Here is a 24,785-nt window from a genome sequence, read left to right as displayed (position 1 = left end):
AGACGCGCACACAGAAAACCCTCCTTCTGCGGGAAGCGCTGGGCGGAGCTGATTTGCATTTACCTTCACGCAGGCCTGGGTTCCGCAGGAGGCCTAGAGCGTTCCGGCAGCGCGCCCGCCCGCCCGCCGCGGTCGTGCGCAGCCACTCAACCCGGTGGATGCTAGCGTGTGACGGGCTGCAGGGCCCTGCCGCTGCTCACTAAGCTCCCCCGTCTCCTTTCATAAGGAGCACCATCCCTTCACTTCTATCCATCAGGCTGCTTGCAAAAGGAGCTAACCCGGGCATGTGGGATTCCAAGGAACTGAACATTCCGCCAGTGGCTCTGGGGTTTGGTGAAGAGGGAAAGTCGAGGGACAAATCTTGGGTAAGCCACAGTGTTCGGTGAGCTTCCTCCTTCCCACGACCAACATACAGATAGGTGTAATGAAGTTAAAATGCCAGCAAGAGAAACAACACCTGGAAGGAGTCCAGAGCACAGGGGTGCGCACTTGATCCTGAAGCAAGGCTCACACCTGGGCTCACCACTTACCAGCTTTTTGCTCTTAGGCAATTCCTTATCTCTTTGTGTGTGTGTCCTCACCTCTAAAACAAGTATGCTAATAGTGCCACCATCTACTGGGTGCTGTGGGGGTTAAATGAGTCAAGGCTCACAGGACCCAGTGCTCCATCGCCCAGGCTGGAGTGCAGTGGCACAATCAAAGCTCACGGCAGCTTCTAACCTGCAGCCTCAAACTCCTGGGCTCAAGCGATTCTCCCGCCTCACCCTCCCGCGATTGTTTTTCTCAGAGCAGGCCAACAAGGAGAGGCAATCCTAAAGCCCACTTCTTTTTCCCTCCCCATGAATATGAAGGTTGACTTTGGACATGTACAGAAGCCTTCCAGTCCTAACTCAGAAAGCTATGTCCTTCCAGCCACCAGCCCTTTGCTGGGCATACAGCCAGCACACAGCAGTGACATCTCCCTGGAATCACAGCACTCAGAGCAATGCCCTATTTCAGCAAATTATTGCATGGGTTTCTGCTCAACCTTGTAGAACATCCTCCAGCCATGGCTTGTCCATTTCCCTGAAACTCCTCTTTATTGAGTGTTTGGGGTGTTTAAGGGTTAACCAGCCCAATGGTCCCCCAACTTGTTTGAGCCAGGGTCCCTTTGTTCAAATGGAAATCTTAAATGCAATTCCAAGATACACAGGAATTGGGGAGTATGGTGGCCAAAGGGGCTTTAGTTGCATCTGCAACGTTCTAATTTCTTACAAGGAAAATATATATTTTTTGCATAATTAAAAGTTAGTTTTTTATGAAGTCCTATATATAAAGTAGGCAAAAGCAGAGCTGCTCTGGCTGGAGCCTCACACCCACTCATTCCCTGTCCCCTATTCACCACTGAGAGCCCTAAGGCCTCTTCTCAACACTCCTAAATTCTGCAGAACACAGTTTTATAGATGACAAAACAGAAGGACAGAGTTTGGTGCCGTGCCCAAACACCAGGATTAATGCCAGGGCTCAAACTTGAGCCTGGGTCTCCTGACTCCCATTTTGGCAGTTCCTGTTCAAATTCCCAGAAGATTGCCAACTAAAGATACTTTCTTTTCAACTTTTCATTCTGAATTAATTTCAGAATTAGAAAAATATGGCCAAAATAGTTCACAGAAGTCCCATATTACTATCACCGGGTTTCTCTAATGTTAACATAAACTTGGTATAGTTATCCAAAACAGTAAAATTAACATTGATCAATACTACTACCTAATAGATAGACCTTATTCAAATTTTGCTAATTTTTCCACCAATGTGCTTTTCCTCGTCCAGGATACAATCTAAGACACAACACTGAATTTAGTTTCATGCCCTATAATCACCTCAAGTCTGGGAAGGTTCCTTGGTCTTCCTTAACCACGCATTACCTTGACACATTTGAAGAGCTAGGAGCAGTTATTTTGTAAAATGTCCCTCAAGTGACATTTGTCTCATGTTTCTTCATGATTAAATTTGGGTTCTACATTTTTGTCAAGCATCCTACAGCAGTAATACTGTGCCCTTCTCAGTGAATCTCATCAGGAGGGGCATGAAATCAATGTCTCTCAGTACTGGTGAAATTAACTTTGATCACTTTGTTTAGGTTGTGTCTGTCCACCAGTGTTCTCCCCTGTAGTACTCTTTTTTTCTTTTGGAATTAATATATCTTGTGGAGAGACCCTTTAAGACTATGTTAGTACCCTTTTTCTCATCATACTTCTACCAACAGATTTTGTCATACGTAGATGATACTTGCTTGCAAGCAACAGTAATTTCGCCTAATGGTGATTTTCTATTTCTATCCTTCTTTCTATGTTTATTAGTTTGAATTCTACTGTAAACAAGAATTCTTTATTCTTCCTATATTCTTTTTAGTAAAACATTCCTAACTTTTGATGTTATCAGAGACCATCATGTTGACTCCACAGAACCCTTGGTATCTGACTCTCGGGTCTGCCCGGTTTTGAGGTATTCACTTCTGTGCCACCATAAAGAAAAATGCCTTCTTTATTTTGCATTTAAACCTTATGATTTTAGTTGCCATTAATAGAATTTTTGGGAGAGGAGTGTGCTAAATGCTTTGCAGGGTGAAGAGGATGTTTTAATTATTCAAGAGAACTGCTTTTATTCAATTCGGGTGTACCCACTTACACATAAAAATTAATGCTAAATAGATGTAATTTCCATCTATTCATTAAAACAAACCCCAAAGCAGTCCAGAAATCCTTAGTAGCCTAATGTTATTCTTGGCACTTGAAAACAAAACTACTTTTCTTAAAGAAGGAAAACCATAACCTGTGTTTTATAAAACACTTATTCTCACCAATGGTGGCCTTCTTGCTCCTTTTTTCCAAGTACCCTCCCTGTTTCCTTCTCCTAAGCAACCATTCACTCAACACTATTTTACTGAGAATCTACTGTGTGCCGGCCTCTTTTCTAAATTCTGGGGCCAAACCAGCAGACAAAACAGACCTGAACTCCCCCGTTTTGAGCTTCCAGTTTATTCAGGGGAGATAGACTACAAATTCTTTAAGTGGTAGCTGCTTTGCAGTAACATTAAGAATCACAGGGGCAGAGGAACCTCTAATTTAGATAGCATGAACAAGGAAAGCCCCTCAGAAGAGGTAGGTGTGGTGAGATTTGAACAGAGAACAGAAAGAAGTGAGGGAGAAGCTGTGTGCCTTGGGGCAGGAGGCGCATTTCAGGAAAGGAGAAGCAAGTGCAAGGTTCTGTTTTAGGGGCAATGATTGGGCTGCATTTGCTAGTGGGAGGGGTTGTTGTGTGTCCCCTTTTGCTATATATATACAGCCTTCTTTTGCTAAGTCTTGCATTTTTAGTACCTTCCCATCTACTTCTCTCTGCTTAATTTTTTCAACATGTAGTTTTGAATATATTTCCTTGAGGTCTGATATAGGGATGGATAGATAGATAGATATAAATATTAATATAATGTATATATAGAGTCTGACTCCTTTTTTTTGATGTGTAACTGTGGACAGCTTTTAAGCCTTGCCTCTCTCTCTTACCTCTCTGCACCACACCCACACCTGGGCAAGCTGCTCAGAAAGCCTGGGTGTGCCCTCCTTTGGTATAGCATCTGAACCAAATTTGGGGTAAAGATTCACAACAATATCCATCTGTGCTGGTCAGTACAATAGGCGCCAGCCACAGCTATTGAGCACCTCAGTTGGAAACATGGCGGGATGTGCTGTACATGCAAAATACACTCTGGGTCTCAAAGACAATATGAAAGAGGCCGGACAACATATAGACCCTGTCTCTACAAAAAACAAAACAATTAGCCCAGCATGGTGGTGCACATCTGTTGTCCTAGCTACTTGGGAGGCCGAGGCTGGAGGATTGCTTAAGCCTGAGAGGTCCGAGCTGCAGTGAGCTATCATCACACCAGTATACTCCGACCTGGGTGACCCTGTCTCTAAAATAAAATAAAATAATAAAAAACAAAGATAGTATGAAAGAATGTAAAATATCCTATTAATAATTTTTAAGTTGCTGGGCACGGTGGCTCACAGCTGTAATCCCAGCACTTTGGGAGGCCGAGGTGGGTGGATCACCTGAGGTCAGGAGTTCGAGACCAGCCTAGCCAACATGGTGAAACCCTGTCTCTAATAAAAAATACAAAAATTAGCCAGGCATGGTGGCAGGTGCCTGTAAACTCAGCTACTCGGGAGGCCGAGGCAGGAGAATTGCTGGAACCCGGGAGGCAGAGGTTGCCATGAGCCAAGATCATGCCATTGCACTCTAGCCCGGGCCAACAACAGCAAGACTCCGTCTCAAAAATAATAATAATAATAATAATTTTTAAGTTGATTGTATGATAAAATAATATATATCAAGTTTAAAGTATTATTAACATTAATTTCACCTTTTTAAACCTTTTTTAATGGGAGTACAGTATTTTTGTTTTGTAGAGCTGGGGGTTCTCACTATGTTGCTCAGGTTGGTCTTGACCTCCTAGGCTCAAGCAGTCCTCCCGTCTTGGCCTCCCAAAGTGCTGGGATTATGGGCAAGAGCACTGCACCTGGCTACATTAAATTTTTTAATTAAATATATGACTCATATTTGTCATTCACCTTCTACTTCTGTTAGATAGCATTAACATATACCAAAGTAGTGACAATGACTATGTCTTAGTTTGTTACTTTTTTTTAATTCCTTCTTTTGGATTCTCTGTATTCTCTGAGCATGTATTTAAAAATAAAAAGACATTTCTTGGAGTTGTTGTTGGTGGAGATAGGAAGGCCTTTTGGAGGATCTGAGAAGGAAAGGTCTCCCTACCCAAAAAGTCCAGAAAGGGAAAACATTTTCCAATCAGCCATGATTCTGAAACTGACATCTGCCCTCTCTCCACTGTTTAATTAATCTAAACTTGATCTGAGGCTGACTCCATACCTTGAGTCCCTATGTAATGAACTGCATGCAACCTAACTTGGTATGAACTGACTGAAAGCTAATTTAATATATTTTTGTAGCTAATAGCTGAGCCTCAGCAGTAAAACACAGCAGCAAACCTCCAATCAATTATAGGTTACCAACTGATCAGACCATGCTCAAATAAAGCAAACACCTAGCTGTAACCAACCAAGCTGTCTCTGTACCTCACTTCCATTTTCTGTTCATTTGCTGTCAGCCCATATCGGGGAGCAGAGTTCTCTCAACTTCTGCTGGTTCTGAGAGCTGCCCTATTGACAAGTCATTCTTCGCTCAATTAAATTTGGTTAAATTTAACTTATCTAAAGATTTACTTTCAACACTGCACATATACTGTTAGAGACAAGCAGCCTCTCTCTACAAGCGTTGGAATAAATGACTTTCTTATGGTGACTCTGGAGTTTGCAAATGCATTGGTGTGCCTTGGCTTGCAAGCCCTGGCTCGTTAGCACTGATATGCTGCTGTCATAGGAAGCCCAAGGTGTGGCCGACTACGACTTTCCTGTGTAGTCTAGGGTTGCCATTTGTGCTTAATCCAATCCATATCTACTCTCTACAAGCCCTCAGTGTCCCAGATCCTTGTCCACAAACCTGGAGGACCAAGCTGGGGATGGCTGTCCAAGCATGGATCAAGCTGCTTTGCAGACTGCTTTGCAGGGTAATGTTTTGGAACAAACTGTACAGACTTAGTCATGCAAAATGTTATTGTATTGAAGAGGTCAGAATTCAGAGCACACTTGGCTAATCCAGCAACTGAATTTTACTACTACTGACTCTGATGAACAGAAAACAACTCTGCCACCTGTACACAGGCAGTCAACTCTTTCTACCAGAAGAGGAATGGACAGTAAGAGAAGGCAGAACAGGGGGAAGAAATCAAATGGATTTAACTAGATCATCACATAAAAACTGCAAATGTCCTATCATTTTTCAGAAAGATTCAATGTCTGCTTTCAAAGGATTTTACTATATGTATCTTCTTTACACAAGTACATTTTAAAATTTAAGTCCGAGTGATTTCAATTCTGTAAATTTTGAAATTTCACTGAGTAAGAAAAATACTGACTACTGACCCTCAAGAGGCAAGTCTACACAAATAGGCAAATTTGTAAGTTTACTGTTGGGGCTCTGAAAATGATACCCCAAAGTTTGGGGCTTTCATGCAGAGTGCTTTGAACTAAGGGAGAACCAAAAAGCCTCCCTGAACTTCTGCCCTGCTGTCTCTCACCCCTGTTTCAAAAGCACAGGGAAGGGTGGTCTCTGAACTTGCCTCGTCTGCCTAAAGATAGATCTTCCAAAAAGGCACTCAATTGCCATGAGTTTCCTCCCCAGGAATCTCATTAATTAGGAAAAATTAACTGTATCACAGGAGGAGAACAGACTGAAGGTAATTGCCAAGCCCAGACATTATCACAAACTATCACCTGTTCTGAGGGGTGCTCCAAGACAACCTTTATTACTCTGGAGACTGTTTATCTGCATAACAAGACAACTTTTATTCACCATGCATTTCCTCTCCTTTCCCTCCCATAATTTGTGTCATGCCCCACCCCCAAATTAAGCTCCAAGCCCCAATTCCTTTCTGTAGCTCAGGATGCTATATAAACTTTAATCATCTAGCCCTTCTTTGAGTCTCATCTTTTGTGAGATTCCCATGCCTATGCACATAATTAAAATTGTTTTTTCCTGTTAATCTATCTACTGTCTATTTACTTCCCAGACTCAATGATCAAACCTTAAGAGGGTAGAGAGAAAGGTTTTCTCCCTTACATTACATTCCACCTAAGATCCACAAAAAGAGAAAATTTCACTTTTAGGTAATGAAAAAGTTACCCAAAATATAAAAACCCTCATATTTGACTTTACTCTTCTAACTCCGCAAACTGAAGCCACCACTAGCTACTACAATTTGACCACCAAGGTATACATTTTTCTAACAGCTGTAATGAGGTATAGTTCACATACTCTACAAGTGACTCTTTTAAGGTGTCTAATTCAACAGGTTTTATACACTTACAGAGTTGTGCTCCCATCACCACAATAAATTCTGGAATATTTTCAATACCCCAAAAAGAAACACAGCACCCCTTCACCATCAACACCTGATATGGTTTGCATATTTGTCCCTCCAAATCTCATGTTGAAATTTGATCCCCAATGTTGGAAGTGGGACCTGATGAGAGCTGTTTGGGTCATGGGAGTGGAACCCTCATGAATGGCTTGAGCCATCCTCTTGGTGATGAGTGAGTTCTTGCTCTATTAGTTTACGTGACAGCTAATTGTTTAAAGGAGCCTGGGGCCTCTCCCCTCTCTCTCACTTCCTCTCTTGCCATATGATATGCCAGCTCCCTCTTTGCATTCCACCATAACTGTAAGCTCCCTGAGGCCTCACCAGAAGCAGAGCGGATGCTGACACCGTGCTTCCTGAACAGCCGCAGAACTGTGAGCTAAATAAACCTCTCTTCTTTACAAACTACTCAGCCTTAGGTATTCTTTTATAGTAATGCAAAACAGACTAACACAAATCCCAATCCCAGTATCCCTCCTTCTCTGCATGTTCCTAGGCAACCACAATCTACTTTCTGTCTCTGTGGGTTTGTCTATTCTGGACATTTTATATAAATTGAATTATATAATATGTGGTCCTTTGTGACTTTCTTCTTTTACTTAGCATAATATTTTCAAGGTTCATACATGTTGCAGCATGTATCAGTACTTCATTCCTTTTGTTCCTGAGCAATATTTGATTGCATTGATATGCCACATTTTATTTACCCGTTTATCAATTGATGGACATTTGGGTTGTTTCCAGTTTTTTACTATTATGGCTAATGCTGCTATGAATATTCATGTACCTAAGTGTAATTTTAAATTTAAGTAATTCTTGCCTAAGGCTTAGGATACATCCCCCCCAGAAAATGAGAATAAAGCAAAGTTTTGCAAAGCAGCAAAGCAGAACTTTACTGTATCAGTGATTGCCACTCTTAAGTCACCTTTTCCCATGGAAGATAGTCCTTAACAGCCTGATTTAGGAACATCAAAAGAGGTCCGTCTAAAAATGTTGTGTTAAGCAGATTCAAACATGTTTTGTTTTGTTTTGTTTTGTTTTGTTTTGTTTTGTTTTGTTTTGTTTGAGACCGAGTTTCACTCTTGTTGCCCAGGCTGGAATGCAATGGCGTGATCTCGGCTCACTGCAACCTCCACCTCCAGGGTTCAAGTGATTCTCCTGCCTCATGTTGAATACAGTGAGTTCTAAATTTCTCTTCAAAGAATCAGTATGTCAGTATGTTCAGTTCTTTGTTCTCCATTTTAAAGTTTAACTTCCTCATTCTCCTCGCCCATAGTTTCAGTAAACAACTTTTTCCACCAGTTCTAATCAGCAGTTCACATCTGTTCCCCTGGTCACCTGCTCTGTCCTGAGTCACCCCTGGTCATCTGTTCCATCTGAGTCATCCCTGGTCACCTGCTCTGACCTGAATCATCCTGAGTTCTCTTTTCTGTAACTGCCCTTCCCACCAAACTACTCACCCCGCCACTCCGACTTGTTCTCCTTCTCTCTTTAAAATAGCCAATCAGAATTATCTTAGACTGTGTGGTCCAACCCTAGCCAATAAGGGAACGACATAGCAGTAGGGGCTACCTGTGTCAGGAATAAAAAGCCCTTCCCCTCCCTTGTTCAGGTGTGCTCTCACCATTGCTCCATCCACGAGTCACACTTTTCTATAGAAGTAAAATTGCCTTGCTGAGAAAATTAAATTTATGTTTGAGTGCTATTTCTTTTGTGGCGCCAAAAGTTTATTTATAACACTCAGCTTCCCAAGTAGCTGGAATTACAGGCATGCACCACTGTGCCCAGCTAATTTTGTATTTTTAGTAGAGATAAGGTTTCATCGTGTTGGTCACGCTGGTCTCGAACTCCTGACCTCAAGTGATCCGCCTGCCTTGACCTCCCAAAGTGCTGGAATTACAGACATGAGCCACTACACCCAGCCTCAAACACACATATTTATTGCATGTCTAATGTAGCAGAGAAAAAATAATTTTTTTTCTACTTTTCATGATTTTTAGCTGATACAACTAAAATTCCTATAACAAAAGACAGATTAACCACAGAAAAACAAACATGTATGTCTCATTTATACCACGGGAGATACACAGGGAAAATGAGTAATTCTCTAAGAGGTGGTTTGAATTCCATCTACCGAAACAAAAAAAAGGGAGCGGGGTGGGGAAGGTCCAGCTTTGCCAAGATGGCCAGGCAAAACACCATAAAACAGCATTAGGTTTGTTATGCAGATTTAAGTCAGTGTCTTCTCCATTGGTAGGCATGTATAATGATGTACAGTCATCCTTCTCTTCCTGGTGCAGAGAGGAAAACACCCTTAAATTGGAGATTTCCTTTGTAAATGCAAATTTTCCTTACAAAAGTGTAATTTCTACTCTTGTTTTCAGAGCTTCTCCTAGGTCTGCTGTTTCTTAAAATAATTAGATCAACATAATCCTTATGCTAAAGGAGCATATTTTGGGGTGATATATTCTAGTCCAGTACACTCATATATTGGGGTGATGTGTCTTGAACCTCATCACTAATAAATAAAAAGTGCTATTTGTAGTTGGTAAATAATTGTAAAATATTTTTTAAAAATTTTCTATATATTTTTTGTACCTCTTGGTCTTCCTCTGCATCCCTACCCCCATTCAGTCATTCATTGCCTCAAGGAATAGATAACTCAAAGAATAGCAGAGAACAAAGGCTTTTGGATTTGTTATTGAACTGAACTTGGGTCTGCTCACTTGGCACAGCAAAGCCAAATGCTGACATCAAGATTTGCTGTGAGATAAACAGCTGTAGGTAAACAGCAGCAACAAAAACAAAATAAATTATTCATTAATTATAAAAAAAGATGTTCAATGAGAGAAAGAAAAGGATTTATTGTAGGATACCAAGCAAGGAGAATTGGTCAGATAATGCTTAAGGCCCAAACTCCCCATGGCTTATCAGCAAGAGATTTTAAGGGCAGGGGTACATTTCTGGAAAGCAGAAGTTATAGGCAAAATTGTAAATCAATACATGGAGGTTATACATTGGTTTGGCTCAAAAAGGCAGGAGGATATGTTGAAGCCAGGGCTTATAGGTCATAAATAGATTCAGTGATTCTTTGATTTGCAATTGGTTAAGAAAATAAAGCTGTGTCTTAAAAACTTGGGGTCCACAGAAAGGAATGTTCAGGTTTGGACTGTGTGCATGACTTTCTTCAGGCCCCTCAGGAAGAAAATTAGAACAAGGAATGGCAGTCAGAGTTCAATCTGTGTGACAGCCTATGTAACATTTTCCATCTGGTGGGAGTCTGCGTTTCTGAAAAATAACTCAGGGACATATGTCAAGATGTTATCTTTAGTTTTTATAGGGAACCAAATATCTGTGTCTCTAACTTACTTGGGTGGCTATTGTTTTAAGTTATTATTACCTTTTTGCTTATCAGGTTGCTCATTTATTTCTCAAGGCTAGCCAAGTGCCTGGAATTTCCCTTGAGAGGACTCAAAATTTTCCTTTATTTCCATGCTTGGGGGAGGGGGCAGTGGGGCAAAAGGGCCCTGAAAGGGGCCTCCTGCTCTCAGATTTTGAATCTTGGAAACCAGGCAATAAATTTGAGAACATATGTGATGAGTTAGATCAAAGTGATGCATTATATCAAAGTTTTCTATCCTTCCCCACCAATTAAATTAAGTTCTTCCAGAATTGAGGAAGAGAGAATGTATGAGGGAAAAGTGAGCCCAGAAAGGAACCCCTGGAGAACAACATGAAGGTTTATGGGATTACAGAGCAAAGTAATGTGTGTCTCTCTTCCCTGGCAGAGCCTAAAAGAGGTGCCACAACCTCAGAGAAGAAATGACTGCAGGATGTGCCTAGACAGAGGGAACCTAAACAGCCTTGCAAGAGTTTCCCCTTAACTCAGCACAGAGTGATGACAAAAAGATGACTTTATTCTGCTAAGAGTGGCTCTGAAGTACCACAGGGTTTTAGCTCCACTTAATGTCCTAGGGTTGAGGGAAGCACAGGAATTCTATGCATTCAGCAGAAGTATAGATGTAACAAGGAACATTCATCGACCTGACTTAGAACAAGGGATGGTGTAGCAGTGACCTATGTGGATCAGTGGCCAAGGTCCAGGGCAGATTTTGGAGATCTTAGCAGATGCCAGCATGACTAGTGATATGGTTTGGCTCTGTGTCCCCACCCATATCTCATCTTGTAGCTCCCATAATTCCCATGTATCATGGGAGGGACCTGGTGGAAGATGATTGAATCATGGAGTGGGTCATTCCCATGTTGTTCTCTTGATAGTGAATGAGTCTCTTGAGATCTGATGGTTTTAAAAACATGAGTTTCTCTGCACAAGCTCTCTTTGCCTGCTTCCATCCACATAAGATGTGGCTTGTTCCTCCTTGCCTTCTGCCATGAATGTGAGGCCTCCCCAGCCATGTGGAACTGTAAGACCAATAAACCTTTCTTTTGTAAATTGTCCAGTCTCAGGTATGTCATTATCAGCAGTGTGAACATGGACTAATATAGTAAATCGGCACCAGGAGTGGGGTTCTTATAAAAAGATAACCAAAAGTGTGGCAGTGACTTCGGAACTGGGTAGTAGGCAGAGGTTGGAACAGTTTGGAGGGCTTAGAAGAAGACAGAAAAATGTGGGAAAGTTTGGAACTCCCTAGAGACTTGTTGAATGGCTTTGCCCAAAATGCTGATAGTGATATGGACAATAGAGTCCAGGCTGAGGTGGACTCAGATGGAAATGAGGAACTTGTTGGGAACTGGAGTAAAGGTGACTCTTCTTATATTATAGCAAAGAGACTGGTGGCATTTTGACCCTGTCCTAGAGATCTGTAGAACTTTTAACTTGAGAGAGATGATTTAGGGTATCTGGTGGAAGAAATTTCTAAGCAGCAAAGCATTCAAGAGGTGACTTGGGTGCTGTTAAAGGCATTCAGTTTTATAAGGGAAGCAGAGCATAAAAGTTCAGAAAATTTGCAGCCTGACAATGATAGAAAAGAAAATCCCATTTTCTGAGAAGAAATTCAAGCTGGCTGCAGAAATTTGCATAAGTAACAAGGAGCCAAATGTTAATCCCCAAGATAATGAAGAAAATTTCTCCAAGGCATGTCAGAGGTCTTCACAACATCCCCTCCCATCACAGGCCAGGAGGCCTAGGAGGAAAAGATAGTTTCATGGGCCAGGCCCAGGGTCCCCATGCTGTGTGCAGCCTAGGGACTTGGTGCCCTGTGTCCCAACCACTCCAGCCATGGCTGAAAGGGGCCAATGTACAGCTCAGGCTGTGGCTTCAGAGGGTCCACGCCTCAAGCCTTGGCAGCTTCCATATGATGTTGAGCCTGCAAGTGCACAGAAGTCAAGAACTGAGGTTTGGGAACCTGTGCCTGGATTTCAGAAAATGTGTGAAAATTCCTGGATGCCCAGGCAGAAGTTTGCTGCAGGGGTGGAGTCCTCATGGAGAACCTCTGCTAGGGCAGTGCGGAAGGGGATTATGGGGTGGGACCCACCGCACAGAGTTCCTACTGGGGCACAACCTAGTGAAGCTGTGAGAAAAAGGCCACCATCCTCCAGACCGCAGAATGGTAGATCCACTGACAGCTTGCACTGTGCACCTGGAAAAGCTGCAGACACTCAATGCCAGATTGTGAAGGCAGCCGGGAGAGAGGCTGTACCTTGCAAAGTCACAGGGGCAGAGCTGCCCAAGACCTCGGGCACCTACTTCAGCATGACCTGAATGTGAGACATGGAGTTGAAGGAGATCATTCTGGAGCTTTAAGATTTGACTGCTCTGCTGGATTTTAGAATTGCATGGGGCCTGTAGCCCCTTTGTTTTGGCCAATTTCTCTTATTTGGAATGGCTGTATTTATGCAATGCCTGTACCCCCATTTTATCTAAGAAGTAACTAACTTGCTTCTGATTTCACAAGTTCATAAGTGGAAGACACTTGACTTGCCTTGGATGAGACTTTGTACTGTGAACTTTTGAGTTAATGCTGAAATGAGTTGAGACTTTGGGGGACTAATGGGAAGGCATGATGGTTTTGAAATATGAAGATATGAGATTTGGAATGGGTCGGGGGCAGAATGATATTATTAGGTTCTCTGTCCCTACCCAGATTTCATCTTGTAGCTCCCATAATTCCTACGTGTTGTGGGAAGGACCCAGTAGGAGATGATTGAATCATGGGGCAGGTCTTCCCCATACTGTTCTCTTGATAGTGAATGGGTCTCACAAGATCTGATAGTTTTAAAAATGAGAGTTTCTCTGCAAAAGCCTTCTTTGCCTGCTGCCATCCATGTAAGATGTGACTTGCTCCTCCTTGCCTTCCACCCTGATTGTGAGGCCTCCTCAGCCATGTGGAACTGTAAGTCCATAAACCTTTCTTTTTTTTTTTTTTTGAGATGGAGTTTCTCTCTTGTTGCCCAGGCTGGAGTGCGATGGCGCGATCTTGGCTCACTGCAACCTCCACCTCCCGGGTTCAAGCAATTCTCCTGCCTCAGCCTCCCAAGTAGCTGGGATTACAGGCAAGCACCACCACGCCCAGCTAATTTTTTCTATTTTTAGTAGAGACGGGGTTTCTTCACGTTGATCAGGCTGGTCTCAAACTCCCGACCTCAGGTGATCCACCCGCTTCAGCTTCCCAAAGTGCTGGGATTACAGGCGTGAGCCACCGCACCTGGCTCATAAACCTCTTTCTTTTGTAAATTGCCCAGTCTCGGGTATGTCTTTACCAGCAGCTTGAAAACAGACTAATACACTAGGTGACTACTAAAGACCAGATACCTCTTCATCTCAATTCCATATACCGAATGTCTTGGCATGATGTAAGACCCCAGTGCTTAGACCCAACACTGGGAAAAAGACAGGAAACCTCATATTGACGAAGGTTAAGTTTCTGCTACTCAGAAAAATAAGGGATCTTAAAATAATTTTTCTAATAGAAAAATACAATCTTATTTCTGAATTAACAGTCTGAGATTTGTACATGTGAATTTTTTAAGAGTAATTTCAAGATCCCAGGAACTTGGCTCCAATGTTGTCCAAGTTCTGATTCCCCAGATCCTAAGATTTCACTTCTTTTCTAGAGATGGCCTAACTCTTCTCATTTGACCTCAAAATCTTGCTTATCTTCCTGTGCTTGGGTGTGACCTCACCTCTCCCTCCTCCCTACTATGTTATGTCCTCCTATAATATACACCCCATACTCAAAATTATTCTTTTAATACATGTAATTTTAATGGCTGTGAGCTCCATGAGGGAAGGAACCATATATATCTTATTCACCTGGCACATAACACAATGTCGGATATGTAATAAGCTGTCTATAAATGGCTGTACAACTTTTTCCTACAAAAACACAAAAGAGCATAAGAATATGTCTAGAAGGATGTCCTCTGCAGCATTGCTGGTAATAGTAAAAATTAGATTCAAACTAAGAGTCCATCAATGGGGAGAAAGTAAATAAATTAGGGTAATTAGCATACCTCTGTGATATGGAATAATATGTGTGCGCAGAACAATCAGGGAAAGAAAAAATCTTTATTACAAAGTCAAGTTAGATATTTTCCTGAATTATATCCTGCCTTAGATAATCAATTCCATCACCCTCCTCTCCATGTCATGTAGATAACTGAGTTGACCATTATCCTTTGAGAGAGTCAAGTTCAAAACTTGAAATTCCTCATATTGTGGTGAGTCCTTAGAAAGACATATATGATTTAAGGAGATTATAGGCATTTATCAGGATATCCACTGGTTATCACCATGATTATCATCTTTACCATCATCAGTGACATTTATTGAATGCTCACTATGTGCCAGGTACCACGTAAACACTCGATATATGTTATCTTGTTTTGAATTCACATAACAACCCTCTAAAGTAGGTATTTTTATACCAACTTTTTAAAGAATGGATTCAGGGATTGTGGCAAACAGACTGTACCATAACCCTCAATGTTTCTACCTTCTGCTGTTCACACATTTGTGTAATCCCCTCTCCTGAGTGTAGGTGGGACCTGTCACTTGACTCTAAGAGAATATGGCAAACGTGATGAGATGTCACTTCCATAATTATTTCACGCAATGCAAGACAACTCCATTTCAGCATACTGGAGTCAGAAACTCTCTTGAGGTAGGAAAGCAGCCATATTAGAGGTTCATGTGGCAAGGATCCTTGCTCATGTGGCAAGGATCATGGGAACCTCAGGGCAGCTAAAACTGACAACAAGGCACAGGCTTCAGACATACGTTCAGTCACATGACCTCAAGGAACTGAAGTCTGCCAACAATCCACAGGAGTCTGGAAGCAGATTCTTGCCCAGTCAAGCTTTCAGATGGACACAACCCTGGCCGACACCTTGATTGCAGGCTTGTGAGACCCTGAACAGAGGATCCAGCTAAGCTGATCCTGACTGTTGAAGCTACAAGATAATAAATGTGTGATTATAAGACACCAGCTATGTGGTAACTGGTTATGCAGCAATAGAAAACTAATACAGGAAGGTGAAGTTTCTAGCCCTAGATCCCACACGACTCTGGGACTAGATATCCATCCCAGGTCTGTTCGCCTCAAAGCCCATGTTCAACAGGGCATCCATGCCCTGCCCTCTTGCTCCCAGATGGTACTTTCAAGATGGTTCTAGGTATGAGCCTGCATCCTAAAACATGACTCAGCTGAATTCCTGTCATCAACTCAAATCAAAGGATCTTCCCTCACCTGTATCACCTAGCAGATTCCACTATCTTTTCATATATATTGAGCTACCTGATAGAGGAACAATAATACGGGTTCACCGTGGGCACTATCGGAGAAGTTTTAGTAACCTGTGGTCCTGGTAGGACCTCCTTGAAGATATGGGGCTTCCATACATGTTCACAGCACCCCACTGTGGGGTTGGATGTGTGACTGCTTAGTTAGTTACTCAGTGAACTGGATGGCAGCCAGCAAATTGTAGCACTTGGCTTTAAATGATTTGCTGCTCGACAGCACCAGCATAACACCTACCAGTGTCCTATTAACCAGGATGGACGATAATCTCAAGCTCCCAGAATTCTCAGAGAATAACAATTTATGATAAATAACTATGGCATTTAGATATGGTGCTGTGCCCTTCCATTTTTTTTTTTGAGAAGGAGTCCCGCCTTGCCACCCAGGCCGGAGTGCAGTGGCGCAATCTCGGCTCACTGCAAGCTCCACCTCCCAGGTTCACGCCATTCTCCTGCCTCAGCCTCCCAAGTAGCTGGGACTATAGGCACATGCCATCACACCCGGCTAATTTTTTTTTGTATTTTAAGTAGAGACGGGGTTTCACCATGTTAGCCAGGACGGTCTCGATCTCCTGACCTCATGAACTGCCCACCTCGGCCTCCCAAAGTGCCAGGATTACAGGCTGAGCCACCGCACCTGGCCTGTGCCCTTCTATTATTCTCTTGTGAAAGCATTTGTAAACTACATGAATCAATTGACTATTACACTAAAGGCAGAATGCATTTAAGAGATGAATGAAAATATCCCTCATACATCGTGGAGACATAAAGCTATAGTAGTTCACCCATCCAACATTACATCAGTAACCAGAATTTTAAAATTTTCTCTTGTAATAAGCTGTCATAAAAATATTTTCCTTATATCAATATATCCTCCTAAATGGTAGACTGAAAAATCAATAAGCCAGGATGCAAAAAGAAAAGGGAAATAAATATGTGTTATATATTTGTCATTACTCTCATCACAGAGGGAAGCATTTAAAGAAGCAAATGTTATTAAAATAGTGACATTAAATAAGTACCTGTTTTATGGCTTGTCTGTTTATACATTCATTTGTTAATTCAACTCAGGTTGATCATATATCTATCAAGTTCAAAGGCTTACTATGTACCTGGGAAGAATACAAAAAAAATAGACATACAGTCTTTGCTTCCTGAGGCTTTCAACTATATGCATCTAACAATAACCATTTGGACTAATTTAAGCACAGAGAGCCACTGAGACATACCTATCCATTTTTGCACATATATTTTATCAGTACACATAGGCATAGAAAAAAGCCCAGAGGGATGTATATCACAATGTAAACCATTGTTACCTGTGGGTGGTGAGATTACATGTAATGAAAAAAAAATTGTATTTCTTAAACAAATAGAAATTGCCCATAAAAATAAAAATAATCATGTATAGCTATTAAAGATTGTTAAGGCTCGGAACACTATACTCCAAAGCATGACACTTTGGCATGCTGAGTACTTTGAACTGTAAAAGATGGGAAGGACCTCGGAAGCAAGAAGTTCCCTTTGGCCTTCTCCACACTCCTTTCTCCTTCTCCCGTTTTCCTCCCAAGCAGGTCATGGGAATGAGGATCCCTCTTCTCCAAAGCGGGTCATAGAAACTAGAACCCCTCTCTCCCGAAGCAAGCCGTAAAACCTCGAGAGGTCATTCTCTGACCTACCTCCTCTGAAAATAGGCCATAAGACCCTCATTCCAGAAGGGTCTTGCCCCACACCCAGCAGGGAAAAAATCCCGTATGAAGAGGCCAAGAAGAATCCGAACAAACAGGCCTTGCTGGGGTCCGCTGTTTATTACCGTTAGAGCATAACCTTTTTGTCCAATCACATTTCTACATGGCTGTCCATTCTTCATTGAACCTAAGCATAAAAATGCAATTTTCCCTGGGTCTTTGGGCCTTCATTTCTGAAGGCTCCAGTGTCACATGAAACTTGATTGAGTTTGTTATGCTTTTCTCTTGCTAACCTGTATTTCCTATAGAAATGTTGGCTGTGGACCTCAAAATGAGTGAGGAAAAGGTATTACACCTTTTTGCTCCAAGATCTTTTAAACCATTAGGTCTGACATTAATTAAACAGGTCTACCAAATCCACCAAAACAATGATGCAAATTTTTCTTTGAGCAAAGAACCAACTAAGGGAAAATAAAGAATATTTAGTCCACTTTCTTCTTATTATTATAAGTTATGGGGTACATGTGCAGAACTTCCAGGTTTATTACATAGGTATACACGTGCCATGGTGGTTTGCTGCACCCATCAACCTGACATCTACATTAGGTATTTCTCCTAATGCTATCCCTCCCCTAGCCTTTCACCCTCTGACAGGCCCCAGTGTGTGATGTTCCCCTCCCTGTGTCTATGTGTCCACATATACCCTCCCAAGACTAAACAAGGAAGAAGTCAAATCCCTAGACAGGCCAATAACAAGTTCTGAAATTGAGGCAGTAATTAATAGCCTACCAAGCAAAAAAGTTCAGGACCAGATGGATTCACACCCAAATTCTACCAGAGGTACAAAGAGGAGGTGGTACCGTTCCTTCTGAAACTATTCCAAACTATAGAAAAAGAGGGAATCCTCCCTAACTTATTTTATGAGGCCAGCATCACCCTGATACCAAAACCTGGCAGAAACACACCAAAAAAAGAAAATTTCAGGCCAGTATCCCTGATGAACGTCGATGTGAAAATCCTCAATAAAATACTGGCAAACCGAATCCAGCAGCACATCAAAAAGCTTATCCACCATGATCAAGTCGGCTTCATCCCTGGGATGCAAGGCAGGTTCAACATATGCAAATCAATAAACGTAATCCATCACATAAACAGAACCAAGGACAAAAACACGTGATTATCTCAATAGATGCAGAAAAGGCCTTCGACAAAATTCAACAACCCTTCATGCTGAAAACTCTCAACAAACTAGGTATTGATGGAATGTATCTCAAAATAATAAGAGCTATTTATGACAAACCCACAGCCCATATCATACTGAATGGGAAAAAACTGGAGGCATTCCATTTGAAATCTGGCACAAGACAAGGATGCCCTCTCTCACCACTCCTATTCAACATAGTATTGGAAGTTCTGGCCCGGGAAATCAGGCAAGAGAAAGAAATAGAGGGTATTCAAATAGGAAGAGAGGAAGTCAAATTGTTTCTGTTTTCAGATAATATGACTGTCTATTTAGAAAACCCCATCTTCTCAGTCCAAAATCTCCTTAAGCTGATAAGCAACTTCAGCAAAGTCTCAGGATACAAAATCAATGTGCAAAAATCACAAGCATTCCTATACACCAATAATAGTCAAACAGAGAGCCAAATCATGAGTGAACTCCCATTCACAATTGCTACAAAGAGAATAAAATACCTAGGAATACAACTTACAAGGGATGTGAAGGACCTCTTCAAGGAGAACTACAAACCACTGCTCAAGGAAATAAGAGAGGACACAAACAAATGGAAAAACATTCCATGCTCATGGATAGGAAGAATCAGTCTCATGAAAATGGCCATACTGCCCAAAGTAATTTATAGATTCAATGCTACCCCCATCAAGCTACGATTGACTTTCTTCACAGAATTAGAAAAAACTACTTTAAATTTCATATGAAATCAAAAAAGAGCCTGCATAGCCAAGACAATCCTAAGCAAAAAGAACAAAACTGGATGCATCACGCTACCTGACTTCAAACTATACTACAAGGCTACAGTAACCAAAACAGCATGGTACTGGTACCAAAACAGATATACAGACTACCATCAGAGAATACTAGAAACACCTCTATGTAAATAAACTAGAAAATCTAGAAGAAATAGATAAATTTCTGGACACGTACACCCTTCCAAGTCTAAACCAGGAAGTAGTCCACATTCTTTTAAAAAAAACATGTCTTCTTAAAATTAAGCATTATCTGCAATAGTGCTTAAGAGCTCCTTCATTATTTTCCCCTCAGGGGATGTTTAGGCTTATATTTTTGCTTTTGTTTTTTGCTCTGACTAAAATTTCAAAAGCTTTATAGCAGTATGTGTCCTGAAAGATCAGATTGCAACAAAGCACCTTTGAATCAGTTTGCAAGATGAGCCACAGGAATGCTGGAGGGAGGGGTTCGGGGCATCAGGAGCTGGAGGAAACTTCTGGCAGCAGAATTTAACCACGAACAGAGTACACGCTGCAGCCCCCATTAGGTACTGGGGGAGAAATAACGAGTGAAATTGTACAAATGCAAAATGCTCTGTAAATGACTATTTCTTGGTTGTCCATGTGTGAAATAGCTAGAAGGGGATGTTCTTACTGGAACACTCTGGAGAGGAGAAATGGAAGGGGGCCTTTGATCTATCTTCCTATGTGTGCAGACCTCTGCTGTGCCCCTGCTGGCATAGGCCATGCATGCCCAAGCTGGACACTTAATCCTGGGTCTAGCCTCTGGGCAGAAGGGTTGGGTGGAATCACAGGGGGCTTTTTCACTGTGGGCATAGGTGGGTGAGAAATATTTGTCATATGCTGACTTTGATATATTGAGTTCTCTATTCTTCAAATCACATCACTTACCCAGTGGTAAAGCTGGAAGGGCTAAGTTTGTGGTGCACACAGTCTTGCAGCTGCATGCTCCCATAGGGCAGGGGTCATATCTGTCTTCTTTACCATGGAAGATGTGGCACCTCACACGTGGCCTGGTATAGCACAGGGGCTCAATAGGTAGCTGGAAGATGATGCTACAAGGGAGTGAAGAAATGCATACCTTCTCCTGGTCACATTGAACATCTCTCATCTCCTAATGAGTCTTGTCCTTTCTACTTTTGCCCTTCGATAACCCATTCTCACACAAGAACCGGAATGATCCTTTTAAAAATAAATCAGGTTCTAAAATTAGCTTACAGTGATGGTTGTACAGCTCTCTAAATACACTAAAAACCATTGAACTGCACACTTCAAATGGGTAAATTTGTGATATGTAAATTCTATCTCAATAAGGCTGTTAAAAAAAATTAGATTGTCATTCTATGCTTAACACCCTTCACTGGTTCCTGACATTTCACGTAGAATTCGCCAGACTGCTTATGGTGATGTACAACATCCTACCTTTCCCACGGGCTCTGCCTGCCTCTCCAACCTCACCTCACACCAGGCCACAGCTTACCTCCCACTCTTACCTGAATCTGCCTACCTTGATCCTGCCTTCCACAATATTCTTCTCCATACTTTTGTACTTTTTTTCATTTCTTCCTTTTATTTGCCCCTTAAGATTTCCACATCCTCTCTCTGCACATTCCAAATGGTGGCTTTCATTCAGATCTCAGCTCAAATTCCATCTTCCCACCTTAGGTCATGTAATGTGAATCACCATCATTTTCTCTCATATTATTATATTTTTATAGGACCTCTATTTGAAATTATCTTGTTTCTTCATTGTTTCCCTCACTCAAATATAAGCTCTGTGAGGGTAGAAAAATCTTGTGTTTAACCCTTGAAGAACAGTGCCTCAGATATAGTAGGAACTAATAAATATACATTAAATGTTGACTGCCTGCTTCCTGCATGGTTTATTCTGCCAAACTTGTCAGAAAAAACAAACAAACAAACAAAACCCATGAATGTTTACACCTTAGCATATCTTTACAAGAAAAAAAGTTTTAAAACTCATTGCTTTTGAATGACTTTTCATTTTTACATGGCATGGCAAAATAAGCAAGCTTCTATCTGGGAACAATTGATTTCCAAAGTTAGAAGATTAAAATCATGTAAATATTTCACTATAAAAAAGGTATTATAATGCTGTTAAGGTTCAGTCATAGTCACTTTAAGGTTGGGGGTGGAGGGAGAGGGACAGCTGGACTTCCAGTCCAAACCAATACTAAATGGAATTTGCAGACGTAAAAGCAGCTGGATACTTACCAAAAGATCTAGGTCTTCAGAGGTTTCCTTATTCTCCTTTCCTTGATTATTTAGAAATCTTAGGAAAACCAAGATAGTATTTGTAAAATTATCAAGAAAAGTCTTCCTTTTAAGATTTCACTTTTGGTAACTATATTTCAGGAATGATAGGGCTCGATGATAGCAACATGCTCTGTGCTACTTTTAACATCTGACATTCATATAAGCCTTTGCTGCTTCCAAGTCCTTCCATGGGAACTGTCTCATTTGACTTTGCCACAGCCTATGGGAAAGGCAGACAGGTGCAGAATTTTTTTAAGTAGAAGGAAGCAAAAGTTAAATGAGTTGAAGTGACTTGCCCAAGGTCCTGTTGCCAATAAAGAGGGATTTTAGTCACATGTTTTTCTGACAAACCACTGGCTCTTTCAAAAGCCTTATTTAGGAAGCTACAGCAGTTCTCCTCACAGATTATCCAACAAGAAGTAATAGCAATCAGTGCTCCAGAGAATTAAGAACTGGGAATAAAAGTAAGAGGGATTTGTATTCAATTAAATAATTGATTTACCTCTAGATTCCTGAAAAGTCATCAGTTTGGCCTTTAGTGTAACAAATTATACACATACACTAATGTGTGTTCATCATAGCCATATTGGTTTATGGAAACATCATTAAAGCTTAGCAGTCTTTGTTTTTGATATTTTTAAGGTTTTGTTTCTACTGTTTACAAATGTTCTTAAAAGCTGTAAGTTCAGCTTTTAAAGCTTTTTGGAAGCAAACCAGCATTTTAATGAGTAACAGTTCATATCAGGAAATATCCTTATGTTTGCATTTAAGTGCTTGCTTACTTCCAAAGTGTTTTTACGAAATTATTAATGTGGGAGGTGTGCAAGATTTTAAACACTTTACATGGAAGCTCATTGACATTACTAGATAACTGACACCATTTTTAGCCCTACAGGATGCTTCGTATTGATTTCAGTTCTTATAAGGCACTAATTTCTCAGAAGTCTTTGCTAAATCTATGAAACTGATTACAAAAAGATTCTCTTAAGATTTAAACACTAAGCACTCTGAAGAGATGCCTGCAATCCCAGGATCACTGCAGCATTATTTACAATAGCCAAGATATAGAAAAAAACAAAGTACTTATCAAGGGATGAATGGATTTTTAAAATATGGTGTATATATATATGAATACTATTCAGCCTTAAAAAACTCAGGAAATTCTGTCATTTGTGACATGAATGAAGCTAAAGGACATTATGCTAAATGAAATAAGCCAGGTACAGAGAGACACAATACTATCTCACTTATACGTAGAAATCTAAAAAGTCAAACTCACAGAAGCAGAGAGTAAAAGCGGTTACCAGAGGTTGGGGAGGGCGGTGGTGGTGGATGGGGAAAGATGAGATGTTGGTCAAAGAGTACAAAGTTTCAGTTTAATAAGAGGAATACATTCTGGTGATCTATTGCACAGCATAGTGACTACAGTTAATAATAACGTATACTTCAAAACAGCTAAAAAAGAGGATTTAAAATGTTTTCACTACCAGGAAATGATAAATATTTGAGGTGAATATGCTAATTAGCCTGATTCAATCATTCCACATTGGATATATGTATCAAAACACTATATTGTACCCCATAAACAACTGTCAATTAAAAATTTAAAATATTCAGATGTCTCACCAAGACTCACGTAGCAAAACTAAATCTTTACATAAATATCTAAGCATTTAATCTTCACAGACATTTCTTGGGCTAGTTCATAAGAAGATTGAATTTTGATGTAAAATACTTCATTGGAGACCATAACAGTTCGTCCCTTGAGAGAGCTCTGTTGAGTACTTGGGATGAGAAAACTCAACCGTTTATTATTCATGTTTTATTACCATTCTGACCACCCAATTGTTATTAATACCTAAAAACCAAGCAATAACCTAAAATGCAACTAATCTGCGTTTTTTTGCATATCCTTTTTTCCCAGTCCCTATCCTGTAGTTCCTCTTCCTCTCAAGGAACTATTTTACTTTCCATGAATAAAAAATAAGTTTCAGTTGCTTACTGTAACAACCTGTTTTTCCATTCCTTACCTTTTACACTGAAGAGCTGCTATAGGTATCATTAGTCCAATAACTGATTTCGGTAACAAAGACCTGAGGGGAAATTAGAAACTTCCCTCTGAATCAAAGATTTACTGATGTTCTGTAGTTTTTAGGCTAAATATACTTCGTATAATACTGTTTTAATGCTTAACACATGTATCTGATAAAAATAATTTGTGGTTTCACCAAAATATGCATCCAAATTAAGTGATCTATTGATTCAATTGTGTGTGCCACACACATAGATATATAGAGATGGAGCTGTTCAATAAGCCATGAGATGCAGAAGACAAATGAAAACTCCCACACTCTATAATGGTATTAATCACATATAGCACGTTATCTCAACAAGCTCAATGACAATGTTCTCCGGAGTGGCTTAATTAAGCACAGCAGCTAAGAAGCTTTGGTTTGGGCACCACCTAATGGCAGAATATGTTTTTGTAAAATTCTACTTTGCTCCCTGTGATTTGCTAACTTTTGTATTTTAGTTTATACTGATTTCGAAAATGTCTGCCCGTTCTTGACCTATGTTAATAGTTTAAGTGTTCCATTTTCTTGAGAAGATTAAGCCCTTTCCGTGCGTACTTTGGAATAAGTTGTCTTTTACAGTGGGAAAAATGTACCAATGAAAAATGAATACTCTAAAATTTCTGTTCTATCCTTAAATATTTAAATTTTACTTCATAATTAAGAAATATATTTTAATTGAATCACTTTAGAGTCCTCAAACTCTTCTGCACTGTATATCCTCAAAACCTGTCACAAAGAAAATAGTATATATTTCTGAAAAAAGGTACTTATTAGAATTAAGTAATTTTATGTATCTGATTAGCTGCTAAAACTACTCCTGAATGTATAAATAGTGATATACACACCTTTAACATCACCATACACATTTAAGTTTTTGCAAGAGATCCTTGCCTGAATATAATGTTCATTTTGTCATTCAACAAAGAGGTAAAATATATGTGGTAATATAGAACAGATAACGAATG

The 24,785-nt window shown here is 40.6% G+C and overlaps 1 annotated feature.

The window, feature by feature from the left end:
- Positions 7,731–8,930: an enhancer, noted in NCBI's record as "P300/CBP strongly-dependent group 1 enhancer chr5:158728900-158730099 (GRCh37/hg19 assembly coordinates)". NCBI's record gives its function as "activates an origin of replication core promoter dependent on BRD2, BRD4, P300/CBP, MED14 and CDK7 cofactors, with strong dependence on P300/CBP, by STARR-seq in HCT116 cells {active_cell/tissue: HCT116}" and the evidence as "EXISTENCE:reporter gene assay evidence [ECO:0000049][PMID:35650434]".

This window comes from Homo sapiens, chromosome 5 (genome assembly GCF_000001405.40).
Source record: "Homo sapiens chromosome 5, GRCh38.p14 Primary Assembly".
Classification (NCBI taxonomy): Eukaryota; Metazoa; Chordata; class Mammalia; order Primates; family Hominidae; genus Homo; species Homo sapiens.
Note: the sequence above shows the minus strand (reverse complement) of the source record. Positions and strands in the feature narration are given on the sequence as shown.